Here is a 14,703-nt window from a genome sequence, read left to right as displayed (position 1 = left end):
ATGCTTTGTGGGGCAGTGCCCTGCCACCAACACAGGCCAAGAAGTCTTTCCAAATTGGCTTAATCTCCTATTTCCCCATTTCTATTCATGGCACAAGCATTCTAACACTACTCTGGAGATCTTGGATTCATCTTTGACTCCCTCCTTTCCCTAATTCCCACATCTGGTCAGTGCCCATGTCTCAAGGATCACCCATTCCTTCTCAGGGAGTCTTCCATCTTGCCTCTCCTTTTGACTCTAATTGAGCATATTAATTCAGACTCTTATCACTTCACAGTCAGACCACAGTTCAAAAGTTGCCAAACCATCCTGCCTTCCAGCAGCGATACCACTTTTTCGTGACTTTCCTATTGAGAAAACTTTCAAGAATTCCCCCGTTAACCCCAGAAGATATTCCAAAGCCTTATTCCAACCCCAATGGGCTCCAGTGGTTAAGAAAGCTGACTCTGTAGTTAAAAGACTTGTGTAATATGGGCTAGTGACTTCACCCTCCAACACAGTTCTTTCCCACATAAAATGGAGGTGATGCTAGTACAGGGCACACATGGTGTCAATAAGTTGTAATTATTGTTTCTTGCTATTATTTTTATATATAGGCATTCTACATATTAGGGAGAGTAGGTGGGTAACATATATGAGGTGTCTGTCCTCGATTAGCTGATTTCAATTGCTGAAATACAATTCAACTGAGGCAGGAGAATAGGGTCTGGAGGCAGGGAACCTAAGGCTGTTTCACGCCAACTTCCTAGGACTAAATTGAAAGGAAAACCCTAACTTTTCATGCCTAAGTAATAAAAGGACCAGAAGCAGCCGGGTGCGGTGGCTCACACCTGTAATCCCAGCACTTTGACAGGCCGAGACAGGCAGATCACGAGGTCAGGAGATTGAGACCATCCTGGCTAACATGGTGAAAACTCCCGTCTCTACTAAAAAAAAGAAAAAAAAATACAAAAAGACCAGAAGCTACTCCCTTTGCAAACCCCCTGCCTTTTCTGCATGTCAGATGGGAAACTGGCTGTCCACAACAAATCAGACTGATTGCCGGTCAAGTCTTCATTTGTAATTTTGTAACTCCACTCCAGCCTCTGAATGGTTGCTGTCCACAACCAGTCAGACTGATTGCCGGCTAAGTCTTCCTTTTCATAGAAGTATAACTTTGTAACTTCACTCTAGCCTCTGATTGGTTGCTTTTTGCAACCAACCAGATGTTTGCACAGGAGTGTGACCTTTGTAACTTCACTTCAGCCTCTGGTTGGCTTTCTGTAACCAATCAGACTGATTGCATGCTACCACTTCATTTACATGAAGTGAGCATGAAGTGGCCAATGGGAAACTTCTAGGGAGTATTTGGACCCAAGAAGATTCTATATCCAGGCCCTTGAGCTGCTGCTCAGCCCGCCCCCACACTGTGGAGGGTACTTTCGTTTTCAATAAATCCCTGCTTTTGTTCTTTTGTTGCCTCATTCTTTCTTTGCTTTGCTGGGCGTTTTGTCCAATTCTTTGTTCAAAACACCAAGAACCTGGACAACTTGCAGTTACGACCATCATACCGGTGACACAACTATGTCCCTCTAATCTGCTACTTGATATCCATTTTATAAACGGGTCCTTTGTCTTTTTCTATTGACAAAGGAGAGTCCCAAGTGTAGCACCATTCTTGGCTGTGCTCATTCTTCAAGAAAGCTTCCTCCAAAACCCCAAGGCCTCATTTTGTCATCAGGAAAACCTCGACTTGCTGAGGCCATAAACCCTGGCTCGAGCTTTGACTCACTCTTTCAAAGCACATTATGCTTCCAGAAGCTGTTAACAGTATTTATTTATCTTCCTCTGACATCTGCGCAACTTCAAAAAGCAGAAAGAAAAAAGAAGTGGTGGTCTTTGTTTCATTATGCCATAGTTAAGATTGCATCTGTAATTTTTAAGTAGCAGAGATTAAAGGTCATGCCAGGGATTAAACAGACACACAAATTACCTTCTTCTCACTCTACTTGGGTCTTGTGACTTAACTTTTACATCTTTAACTTTTAACTGCTCTTAATTTGACTTCTTTGTCAGTTTCTATGAACCAGCCACCATAAAGGACAATATTATATACAGGAGCATTCATTCTGTTAAGAAAAAAAATTGCATATCTTGAAAGATGAGCTAGATCTGTGCCTGTTGACATCTTCTAGCCACAAAGGAATTTCACATGACTGGGCTTCTTTTGCCGTCTGAAATTATTCAAGCAGCAAAGGTCATGACAGTGCCTCAGTTCACCAGTTCATTTTGGCAAAGTGCTGGCAGGGACCTGGGCCCTGCCCTGCCTGCTTCCTCCAGAGCCCTGGCTAGGCACCATATTCAGGAGTTGGAGTGTCTCCAAGTTTCTAGTAATCTGCACACTTAGTGGTTAGTACTGACTCTGGAACTAGACCACCTGGGCTCACATTGTGGCTGTGTGACCTTGAACAATTGCCTTAACCTATTTGTGCCCTAATTCCTTCATCTAAATTGGGGATAAAAACAAGTTTTGACCTCATAGGATTGTTGTGAGAATCACATGAGTTAGTACATGTAACGTGTTTAGTGCACTGCCTGACATATGATTAAGAGCTATGTAGGGTGAGCTGTTGTTATTACTAATACTTTTTTCCTGGGCTTGGCCACCTGTCAACAGTCTTTATGGCCTCCTGGAACACTTCTTAAAATTTTCCCCAAGGCTCTCTTTTCAAACCCTCAGCCATGAATCAATCAATTTCATTCTGTGGAAAAGAGTCTAAGAAGAATTAAATGGAGGATGCTGGAAATGGTGGGGCTAATGCTTTATCACATTCTCAAGAAATCTGGCCAACAGAAATGCAAACTGCCTTGCTTAAAGAGAAGTCCATATTTTATTCCTCTCCAATGAAACAATGTTCCCTTTAAAAGTCAAACAGCATCATTCTCATTGTCTACTCTTTATAACCTCCTACTCAAGTATACATGCCACTAAGAAAATTGTTAATGCATGTACAGTTTAAATAGCTTTGGCCCATTAAAAATCAGACTTAAGTCCATTAATTCTAGGACCTCAATTCTAAGACGATGTTTATTTTGCAAAGTCATAACCACTACAACTATGTGTAACGTTGCTAAAAATATGGTCTATTTAAAAAAATCTTTCTGATGGTCCTTAGTCTGTTAGTGAACCCCCTTTAAAAAAAACAAATTATAATTTACACACTTAAACAATTTGCCTTCAATACTATACACTCTTTTTATCATCCTCAATAATAACTCCAATAGCACAATACTAGAAGCTAAGATTAGGTTGAAGGAAGTCAACTGCAGCTTCTTCATAGTTTCAGGGTAAACAACATAATTTACAAGGGACATAGAAACCAAGATGACACACATATTAAAAGTTCTTTTCACCTAAAGACTATAAAAATACTTTGGATGAATTATCTGTGTTCTCTTAGCTCTGTAAGTGACACTAATGAAATGCAAAAAGGCCAAAAGAAAGAAGGATGGCAAGCAACTAAGAGAGCAAGAGCCCTAGAATAGTCTGAAATTGGCTGCTTCCATCCTTTGAGAGTTGACTAATGAAAACAGGGAACCTCTGTTTCTAGTCTATAGTTCCAATTCTTAGTGAATACTGTCTGTGTTCCAAGTGCAGTAGCAAAATAATAAATCAGAGTGAATTCAATGTAAGTATGACCCTGTTCAAAGAGACTAACCCAGTAGTACATTTCAATTTTCTGTGGTTCACCTACCGGCTCACAACATGGATGGGGATTGTAAGGCGGAGGTTTGATACAGGACCCAGAATTACCAGCCAAGCCAGATATATACCATTAATAAGATGACTTTAAATATAAAAGCAAATAATGTAGAGATTTCTAAATTAAAATTGCCTTTCTCTCCAGCAATTTCACTCCTAGATATATGCCTAAGAGAATTAAAAGCTTATGTCCACACAAACAAAATGTACATGAATATTCACAACAGCACTATTCATAATAGCCAAAAAAGTAGAAGCAACTCAGATGTCCACCAACTAAAGAATGGATAAATAAAATGTGGTATAGCCATACAGTGGAATATAACTTGGCAATAAAAAAGAAATAAAGTACTGATATATGCTACTTCAACATGGATAAACCTTGAAAACACTACGTTAAGTGCAAGAAACTTGCCACCAAAAGCCACACAGTATATGGTTCTATTTATATGAAATGTCCAGAATCAGCAAATCTGTAGGGACAGAAAGTAGATAAGTGGTTGCCAGGAGCTGGGGCAAGAGAGGAACAGAGAATGACTGTTAATGGGCATGAGGTTTATTTTTCTGGGGGTGGGGTGGTGATGACATGTTTCAAAATTGATCGTGGTGATAGTTGCACTACTCCATGAATATACTAAAAATCATTGTATACTATAGGCAGGTGAACTTTATAATATGTGAATTATGTCTCAAAAAGGTTTTTTTTTTAAAGTTGCCTTTCTCTTATTTTAGCACTGAATAGATATTAAGTAGTTACTCAGCACAAGTCACAGGGTTAATAATGAAATATGCAAGATACACAGTAGACCTTTGTCCTTCACAAGGGATACTTCTGGAAACATTTCCAGATTGCCAAATAAATGATTACCACTAGGGCTGAGATTGTACAACCATAGAGAGCGTCATTCCTTTAGGAATCTATGTGAATGATGCCCCCAGGAGTCATGCAGAGTACAAACTACATGTCCACACAGGGTGGTCCTGGCTGCCACTAAGACACCAGCATGTAGCTTTCTTTCCTGGGACACTTTCTCCATCCACCATCAAACAAACAGTTCCCTCTCCCTCTTTTTCTTTTTACTTTACAAAAATTATTGATGTGCCAGTGGATTGGGATATAGATATCAGTTGGTCAGCCAGGCTACAGGGTTTATTCCCAACAGGTATTGTCAACACTCATGAGGATTGACAAGGTAAAGCTTCATGATCAACTTTACTGCCTTGATCCCATCTTATTCAAATATTTATGAAAGAGATTCAATCCATCACATGATTATAAATTATCAATCTTGTTTATAGGCAAATAATCTTTTGTCTGCACATTTTAAACATTCTTTTCAAACTGTATTAGCTGTCATCTACTGTTTGTCCTTTCTGAACTTTCAATTAAATATACAACTTACTGTGTTTTTGAAATTGGTATAGTTAGTATTGCAAATATCTGTGCTTATTGATCCAATACATTGTATTCACTTCCTTTCTGACCTGCAGAGATGGAAACTGCTGATCTTTAAGCAAATGGCAGCACGCACTTATTTTTTTCTGTACCTCAGAAAAGGTGGGAAGCAACTAGTCCTATCCAAGATTGAAAAACGCAAAAAATAAATAAATAAATAAAATAAAAATTCCACTTGTGTTTAAGAAGGAGAAAAACAGAAAAAATGGAAATGGCCAAGCTATGATCATATTAGGATCTATGCAGATGAGTCATATGACTATGTAGGACAAATTCCCAAAACTAGTTGTTCTGTTTAGTTTTTTAAAATATCATTTATTATGACACATTTCAGATGTGCAAGACATAAAGAATAAGGAAACATCCCTGTATCTACTACAACCCTACATAAGCAATAAATACAATTAGAGCCCCTGATCACATTATTCTCTCTTCTATTTATTTTCAAATGACTTGGGAAAGGACAAAGAGGCGATACATAAAGCCTCTTTAGGGAGTGCAAAGCAAAGCATGAGTCACAGCCCAGCCAACATTCTGTAAAGGCGCTGCCTTTAATAGTCTGATATGCAGAGATCACCTGGCCAAAGCTAACTTCACCCTCCCAAATCCATACTGCCACTACTACTACTTCCTGTTTTGTGCAAAACGATCAAAGCTTCTACAAAGAGGTGAATGAACATATCATATGCATTCATAAGGGATAAGTTCATGAAAACACCATGAATGGCTGTATCCCTAAATATTTATTTCTAAAATAAAATGTTCTAAGCAACTAAACATATAACTCTTCTCTCACAAATGTTCCATGAGTTTTTCTATTTATATTTAGAGACAGGGAGAGAACCTCAATTAGGAACTAAGCTACTTTCCAATCCTTCTTATCAACTTTAGCCAAAAAGAGCTCAAAATCCTTCCTTTCACATGAAAAAAGTACCCAGAGTCCAGGTTATTTGCAGACAGCAAGTATCAATGAGAGACAGGAAAGTGAGGTCACAAGGGAGGGGGGCAAGGGACAGTTGACCCCTAATTTAACATCGCAGCTTCTGAATCTTGAGATAATCTGAATTGTTGAAACAGGATGGAAAGGCGACAACAGTGTGTTTCCCATGTGATATGAGAAGAGTGAGTTCTTCTATTATCTGACATCTACTGTGAATGTATTATAGGTATCTCACTGGATTCCATCTCTGAACAGAGACTGTGGGTGGTTATATTTTGGTGGGCAGAGCAGAAAGGGTCAGCAGCTTCAGTGCCTTCTCAAGACGACAGGTTTGGCTGGGCAGCAAGAGAGCTTGGGTCCCAGAGAGGGAAGCGGGTGGGGGCAGAGGGAGACAAAGGGCTGGCCTTATCCATTTTCTCAAATGTCAGGCCCAACCAGCTCCGAAGCTTAGACTGTAATTACAATCCTCTTACTTTTTTGCTAATAGATGTTGAGACTCCAAGTTGCCACAAAACATCCACAGTTTTGCAATCTAAGTAAAATCCCTGGTATTAAAAGAAGGGAAAGTCAAAAGGCTGCTTCCGCTAAACTGTAATCAGCTCTCCTAAGACTTTTTGTTTGTTTGTTTGTTTGTTTGTTTGTTTGTTTGTTTTAGAGTAAGGGTCTCAGGCTGTAGCCCAGGCTAGAGTGCAGTGGTGAAACCATAGCTCACTATAGTCTCCAACTCCTGGGCTCAAATGATCCTCCCAGCTCAGCCTCCCAAGTAGCTGGGACTACAGGTGTGAGACACCATGCCTGGCAAATTTTTTTTTTTCTTAAGAGATGAGGTCTCACTATGTTGCCCAGGCTGATCTCAAACTCCTGGCCTCAAGCAATCCTCCCCCCTCAGCCTCTCAAAGTGCGGGGATGACAGGCATGAACCACTACACCTGGCCCAGACCTATTTTTTAATTTGCTTTGTTTTGTATCATCTATTTCCTGTTCATAATGAGTTTAGCATTGCCTTGATAGAAATTGCTAACTAAAGGTTATAGACAGAAAAAAAAATCATTCTGGATACATCATCTGTTCTTTTTATTATTATTATACTTTAAGTTCTGGAATACATGTGCAGAACATGCAGGTTTGTTATATAGATGTACATGTTCCATGATGGTTTGCTGCACCCATCAACCCGTCAATCTACATTAGGTATTTCTCCTAATGCTATCCCTCCCCTAGCCCCCCACCCCACCACAGGCCCCAGTAAGTAATATTCCCCTCCCTGTGTCCACATGTTCTCACTGTTCAACTCCCACTTATGAATGAGAACATGCAGTGTTTGGTTTTCTGTTACTGTGTTAGTTTGCTGAGAATGATGGTTTCTAGCTTCATCCATGCCCCTGCAAAGGACATTAACTCATCCTTTTTTATGGCTGTATATTATTCCATGGTATATACGTGCCATATTTTTTTATCCAGTCTGTCATTGATGGGTATTTGAGTCAGTTCCAAGTCTTTGCTATTGTGAATAGTGCTGTAATAAACATACGTGTGCGTGTGTCTTTATAGAATGATTTATAATCCTTTGGGTATATACCCAGTAATAGGATTGCTAGGTCAAATGGTATTTCTGGTTCTAGATCTTGAGGAATCACCACACTGTCTTCTAAAATGGTTGAACTAATTTACACTCCCACCAACAGTGTAAAAATGTTCCTATTTCTCCACATCCTCTCCAGCACCTGTTGTTTCCTGCCTTTCTAATGATCACCATTCTAACTGGCATGACACGGTATCTCATTGTGGTTTTGATTTGCATTTCTCTAATGACCAGTGATGATGAGCTTTTTTTCATATGTTTGTTGGCCACATAAATGTCTTCTTTTGAGAAATGTCTGTTCATATGCTTCGCTCACTTTTTGATGGGGTTGTTTTTTTCTTATAAATTTGTTTAAGTTCTTTGTATATTCTGGATATTAACCCTTTGTCAGATAAATAGATTGCAAAAATTTTCTCTCATTCTGTAGGTTGCCTGTTCACTCTGATGATAATTTCTTTTGCTGTGCAGAAGCTCTTTAGTTTAATTAAATCCCATTTGTCAATTTTGGCTTTTGTTGCCATTGCTTTTGGTGTTTTATTCATGAAGTCCTTGCCCATGCCTATGTCCTGAATGGTATTGCCTAGGTTTTCTTTTAGGATTTTTATACTTTCAGGTTTTACATTTAAGTCTTTAATCCATCTTGAGTTAATTTTTGTATAAGGTGTAAGGAAGGGGTCCAGTTTCAGTTTTCTGCATATGGCTAGCCAGTTTTCCCAACACCATTTATTAAATAGGGAATCCTTTCCCCATTTCTTGTTTTTGTCAGGTTTGTCAAAGATCAGATGGTTGTGGATGTGTGGCATTACTTCTGAGGCCTCTGTTCTGTTCCATTGGTCTATGTATCTGTTTTGGTACCAGTACCATGCTGTTTTGGTTACTGTAGCCTTATAGTATAGTTTGAAGTTAGGTAGCGTGATGCCTCCAGCTTTGTTCTTTTTGCTTAGGATTGTCTTGGCTATGTGGGCTCTTTTTCGGTTCCATATGAAATTTAAAGTAATTTTTTCTAGTTCTGTGAATAAAGTCAATGGTAGATTGATGGGGATAGCATTGGATCTATAAATTACTTTGGGCAGTATGGCCATTTTCACGATATTCATTCTTCCTATCCATGAACATGGAATGTTTTTCCATTTGTCCTCTCTTATTTCCTTGAGCAGTGGTTTGTAGTTCTCCTTGAAGAGGTCCTTCACATCCCTTGTAAGTTGGATTCCTAGGTATTTTATTCTATTTGTAGCAATTGTGAATGGGATTTGGCTCATGATTTGGCTCTCTGTTTGTCTATTATTGGTATATAGGAATGCTTGTGATTTTTCCGCATTGATTTTGTATCTTGGGACTTTGCTGAAGTTGCTTATCAGCTTAAGGAAATTTTGGGCTGAGATGATGGGGTTTTCTAAATATACAATCATGTCATCTGCAAACGGAGACAATTTGACTTCCTCTCTTCTTATTTGAATACCCTTTATTTCTTTCTCTTGCCTGATTGCCCTGGCCAGAGCTTCCAATACTATGTTGAATAGGAGTGGTGAGAGTGGGTATCCTTGTCTTATGCCAGTTTTCAAAGGGAATGCTTCCAGCTTTTGCCCATTCAGTATGATATTGGCTGTGGGTCTGTCATAAATATCTTTTAATATTTTGAGCTATGTTCCATCAATACCTAGTTTATTGAGAGTTTTTAGCATGAAGGGGTGTTGAATTTTATTGAAGGCATTTTCTGTATCTATTGAAATAATCATGTGGTTTTTGTCATTGGTTCTGTTTCCGTGATGGACTACGTTTATTGATTTGTGCATGTTGAACCAGCCTTGCATCCCAGGGATGAAGCTGACTTGATTGTGGTGGATAAGCTTTTTGATGTGCCACTGGATTTGGGGTTTGTCAGTATTTTATTAAGGATTTTGCATCAATGTCCATCAGGGATATTGGCCTGAAATTTTCATTTTTTGTTGTGTCTCTGCCAGACTTTGGTATCAGGATGATGCTGGGAGGAGTAAAATGAGTTAAACATGAGTTAGGGGGGAGTCCCTCTTTTTCTATTGTTTGGAATAGTTTCAGAAGGAATGGTACAGCTCCTCTTTGTACCTCTGGTAGAATTCGGCTGTGAATCTGGTCCTGGGCTTTTTTTTTTTTAATAGCCTACCTGGTTGGCAGGCTATTAATTATTGCCTCAATTTCAGAACTTGTTACTGGTCTATTAAGGGATTCAACTTCTTCCTGGTTTAGTCTTGGGAGGGTGTATGTGTCCAGGAATTTATCCATTTCTTTTAGATTTTCTAGTTTATTTGTGTAGAGGTGTTTATAGTATTTTCTGATGGTAGTTTGCATTTCTGTGGGATCACTGGTGATATCCCCTTTATCATTTTTTATTGTATCTATTTGATGCTTCCCTCTTTTCTTCTTTATTAGTCTGGCTAGCAGTCTATTTTGTTAATGTTTTCAAAAAACCAGCTTCTGGATTAATTGATTTTTTGAAGGGTTTTTCGTATCTCTATCTCCTTCAGTTCTGCTATGATCTTAGTTATTTCTTGTCTTCTGCTAGCTTTTGAATTTGTTTGCTCTTGCTTCTCTAGTTCCTTTAATTGTGATGTTAGGGTGTCTATCTTAAATCTTTCCTGCTTTCTTTTGTGGGCATTTAGTGCTATAAATTTCCCTCTAAACACGGCTTTAGCTGTGTCCCAGAGATTCTGGTACATTGTATCTTTGTTCTCATTGGTTTCAAAGAACTTCATTATTTCTACCTTAATTTCGTATTTACCCAGTAGTCATTCAGGAGCAGGTTGTTCAGTTTCCATGTAGCTGTTCGGTTTTGAGTGAGTTTCTTAATCCTGAGTTCTAGTTTGATTGCACTATGGTCTGAGAGATTGTTTGTTATGATTTCCGTTCTTTTGCATTTGCTGAGGAGTGTTTTACTTCCAATTATGTAGGTAATTTTAGAGTAAGTGTGATGTGGTGCGAGAAGAATGTATATTCTGTTGATTTGGGATGGAGAGTTCTGTAGATGTCTATTAGGTCAGCTTGCTCCAGAGCTGAGTTCAAGTCCTGAATATCCTTGTTAATTTTCTGTCTCACTGATCTAATATTGACAGTGGGGTGTTAAAGTCTCCCACTATTATTGTGTGTGAGTCTAAGTCTCTTCGTAGGTCTCTAAGAACTTGCTTTATGAATCTGGGTGCTCCTGTATTGGGTGCATATGTATTTAGGATAGTTAGCTCTTCTTGTTGCATTGATCCCTTTACCATTATGTAATGCCTTTGTCTTTTTTGATCTTTGTTGGTTTGAAGTCTGTTTTATCAGAGACTAGGATTGCAACCCCTGCTTTTCCTTTTTTGCTTTCCATTTGCTTGGTAAATCTTCCTCCATCTCTTTATTTTGAGCTTATGTGTGTCTTTGCACATGAGATGGGTCTCCTGAATACAGCACACCGATGGGTCTTGACTCTTTATCCAATTTGCCAGTCTGTGTCTTTTAATCGGTCTATTAAGGGGCATTTAGCCCATTTACATTTAAGGTTAATATTGTTATGTGTGAATTTGATCCTGTCAGTATGATGCTATCTGGTTATTTTGCCTGTTAGTTGATGCAGTTTCTTCATAGTGTCAACGGCCTTTACAATTTGGTATGTTTTTGCAGTGGCTGGTACTGGGTTTTCCTTTCCATATTTAGTGCTTCCTTCAGAAGCTCTTGTAAGGTAGGCCTGGTGGTGACAAAATCTCTCAGCAGTTGCTCGTCTGTAAAGGATTTTATTTCTCCTTAGCTTGTGAAGCTTAGTTTGGCTGGATATGAAATTCTGGGTTGAAAATTCTTTTAAGAATGTTGAATATTGGCTCCCACTCTCTTCTGGCTTGTAGGGTCTCTGCAGAGAGATCCACTGTTAGCCTGATGGGCTCTCCTTTGTGGGTAACCCGACCTTTCTTTCTGGCTGCCCTTAACGTATTTTCCTTCATTTCAACCTTGGTGAATCTGATGATTATGTGTCTTGGGGTTGTTCTTCTTGAGGAGTATCTTTATGGTATTCTCTGTATTTCCTGAATTTGAATGTTGGCCTGTCTTGCTAGGTTGGGGAAGTTCTCCTGGATAATATCCTGAAGAGTGTTTTCCAACTTGATTCCATCTCCTCGTCACTTTCAGGTACACCAATCAAATGTAGGTTTGGTCTTTCCACATAGTCCCCTATTTTTTGGAGGTTTTGTTCATTCCTTTTCATTCTTTTTTCTCTAATCTTGTCTTCATGCTTTATTTCATTAAGCTGATCTTCAGTCTCTGATATCCTTTCTTCTGCTTGATGGATTCAGCTATTGATACTTGTGTATATGCTTCACAACATTCTTGTGCTGTGTTTTTCAGCTCCATCAGGTCATTTATGTTCTTCTCTAAACTGGGTGTTCTAGTTAGCAATTCCTCTAACCTTTTTTCAAGGTTCTTAGCCTCCTTGCATTGGGTTAGGACATGCTCCTTTAGCTCAGAGGAGTTTATTACATACCTTCTGTACCCTACTTCTGTCAATTTGTCAAACTCATTCTCCATCCAGTTTTGTTCCCTTGTTGGCGAGGAGTTGTGATCCTTTGGAGAAGAAGAGGCGTTCTGGTTTTTGGAATTTTCAGCCTTTTCGAGCTGTTTTTTTCTCATCTTCGTGGATTTATCTACCTTTGGTCTTTGATGTTGGTGACCTTCAGATGGGGTTTCTGAGTGGACATCCTTTTTGTTGATGTTGATGTTACTCCTTTCTGTTTATTAGTTTTCCTTCTAACAGTCCGGCCCCTCTGCTGCAGGTCTGCTAGAGTTTGCTGAAGGTCCACTCAAGACCCTGTTTGCCTGGGTATCACCAGCAGAGTCTGCAGAACAGCAAATATTGCTGCCTGTTCCTTCCTCTGGAAGCTTCATCCCAGAGGGGCACCTGTCAGATGCCAGCCGGAGCTCTCCTATATGAGGTGTCTGTCATCCCCTACTGGGAGGTGTCTCCCAGTCAGGAGGCAAGGGGGTCATGAACCCACTTGAGGAGGCAGTCTGTCCCTTAGCATAGCTCGAGCACCGTGCTGGGAGATCTGCTGCTCTCTTCAGAGCTGGCAAGCAGGAATGTTTAAGCTTGCTGAAGCTGCACCCATAGCTGCCCCTTCCCCCAGGTGCTCTGTCCCAGGGAGATGGGAGTTTTATTTATCAACCCCTGCCTGGGGCTTCTGCCTTTCTTTCAGAAATGTCCTGCCTAGAGAGGCAGAATCTAGAGAGGCAGTCTGGCTACAGTGGTTTTGTGAAGCTGCAGTGGGCTCTGCCCAGTTTGAACTTCCCAGTGGCTTTGTTTACACTGTGAGGGGAAAACTGCCTACTCAAGCCTTGGTAATGGCGGATGCCCCTCCCCCCACCAAACTTGAGTGTCCCAGGTGGAGCTCAGACTGCTATGCTAGCAGCGAGAATTTCAAGCCAGTGGATCTTAGCTTGCTGGGCTCCATGGGGGTGGGATCTGCTGAACTAGACTACTTGGCTCCCTGGCTTCAGCCCCCTTTCCAGGGGAGTGAACAATTCTGTCTTGCTGGCATTCTAGGCACCACTGGGGTATGAAAAATAAACTCCTGTAGCTAGCTCGGTGTCTGCCCAAACAACCGCCCAGTTTTGTGCTTGAAACCCAGGGCCCTGGTGGTGTAGGCACCCAAGAGAGTCTCCTGGTCTGTGGGTTGCAAAGACCATGGGAAAAGCATAATGTCTGGGCCAGAATGCACCATTCCTCACAGCACAGTCCCTCATGACTTCCCTTGGCTAGGGGAGGGAGTTCCCCAACCCCTTGCACTTCCCAGGTGAGGCGATGCCCCACCCTGCTTCTGCTCACCCTCCATGGGCTGCACCCACTGTCTAACCAGTCCCAATGAGATGAGCTGGGTACCTCAGCTGGAAATGCAGAAATGACCTGCCTTCTGCGTTGATCTCACTGGGAGCTGCAGACCAGAGCTGTTCCTATTCGGCCATCTTGCCAGCCACAAAATCACATCATCTGTTCTTTAACATGTTCTTGATATCTCACTTGTTTCCAAAAGCAATTATAGGTAAATGTATATATTTTCTATATATATGCACACACATATACCACCTATACAAACAATATATATGTATATATGATAAAAAATCATGAGAATAATTCCAAAATTTAAAAATTAATATAGTCACTGTGAACATTATGAATGGCTTTGAGCATCTGGGCAATTCAGGCAAAAACAGAAAGAGGATTATGTTATGTGCAGTCTTGAGGCAAGGGGCAATGGTCTGAGTTTTCTAAGAGGGTCTGTCCTTTCCTCTTACCGCATACAAAGTTTAACCAAATCCTATTTTGGTTAGGAAATGTTCCCAGTCTCTCTGTCTTATTTCAGCCATAAGAACTAGTTAAGATAGGCCGGGTGTGGTGGCTCACGCCCATAATCCTAGCACTTTGGGAGGCCGAGTGGGGGGTGGATCACGAGGTCAGAAGATCGAGACCATCCTGGCTAACACGGTGAAACCCCATCTCTACTAAAAATATTAAAAATTAGCCGGGCGTGGTGGTGGGCACCTGTAGTCCCAGCTACTTGGGAGGCTGAGGCAGGAGAATGGCGTGAACCCAGGAGGCAGAGCTTGCAGTGAGCCGAGATGAGGCCGCTGCACTCCAGCCTGGGCAACAGAGTGAGACTCTGTCTCAAAAAATAAATAAATTAAAAACAAGAACTAGTTAAGATATAGTTCATGAACATTCTCTTATATCTTTAATCCTTTAATATGTATTTCTCCACACTCGTAGGAACTCCAGCCTTAGAGAAATCATAGCCAAGCCTATCCCAGCTCATTAGCAGTCACACATGTTGTTGAAACCCATAGCACATTCCCAAAAGCATTATCTTAATGCATCAGGTTATATGTGAGGGATTAAGAGATGAAAGGAGAGACTGCATATTCTAATTCTTAGTCATGTGCTATTTCTGCTTAAGAAAAAGGAAAATGTTTTAGTAACCAAAAAATAAAATAAA

The 14,703-nt window shown here is 40.3% G+C and overlaps 1 protein-coding gene across 1 annotated transcript in view, besides 1 other annotated feature; it reads right to left on the bottom strand.

Moving 5' to 3' along the window:
• SHROOM3 (shroom family member 3) overlaps positions 1–14,703 on the bottom strand; it is a 348,025-nt gene that overhangs the window by 291,891 nt on the left and 41,431 nt on the right. The window lies entirely within an intron of this gene.
• Positions 13,042–13,772: an enhancer, noted in NCBI's record as "H3K27ac hESC enhancer chr4:77398744-77399474 (GRCh37/hg19 assembly coordinates)". NCBI's record gives its function as "activates a minimal SCP1, AML or CMV promoter by ChIP-STARR-seq in primed H9 embryonic stem cells {active_cell/tissue: H9 hESC(primed)}" and the evidence as "EXISTENCE:reporter gene assay evidence [ECO:0000049][PMID:30033119]".

Source organism: Homo sapiens, chromosome 4, assembly GCF_000001405.40.
Source record: "Homo sapiens chromosome 4, GRCh38.p14 Primary Assembly".
Lineage (NCBI taxonomy): Eukaryota > Metazoa > Chordata > Mammalia > Primates > Hominidae > Homo > Homo sapiens.
This window is presented reverse-complemented; position numbering and strand designations above follow the sequence as displayed.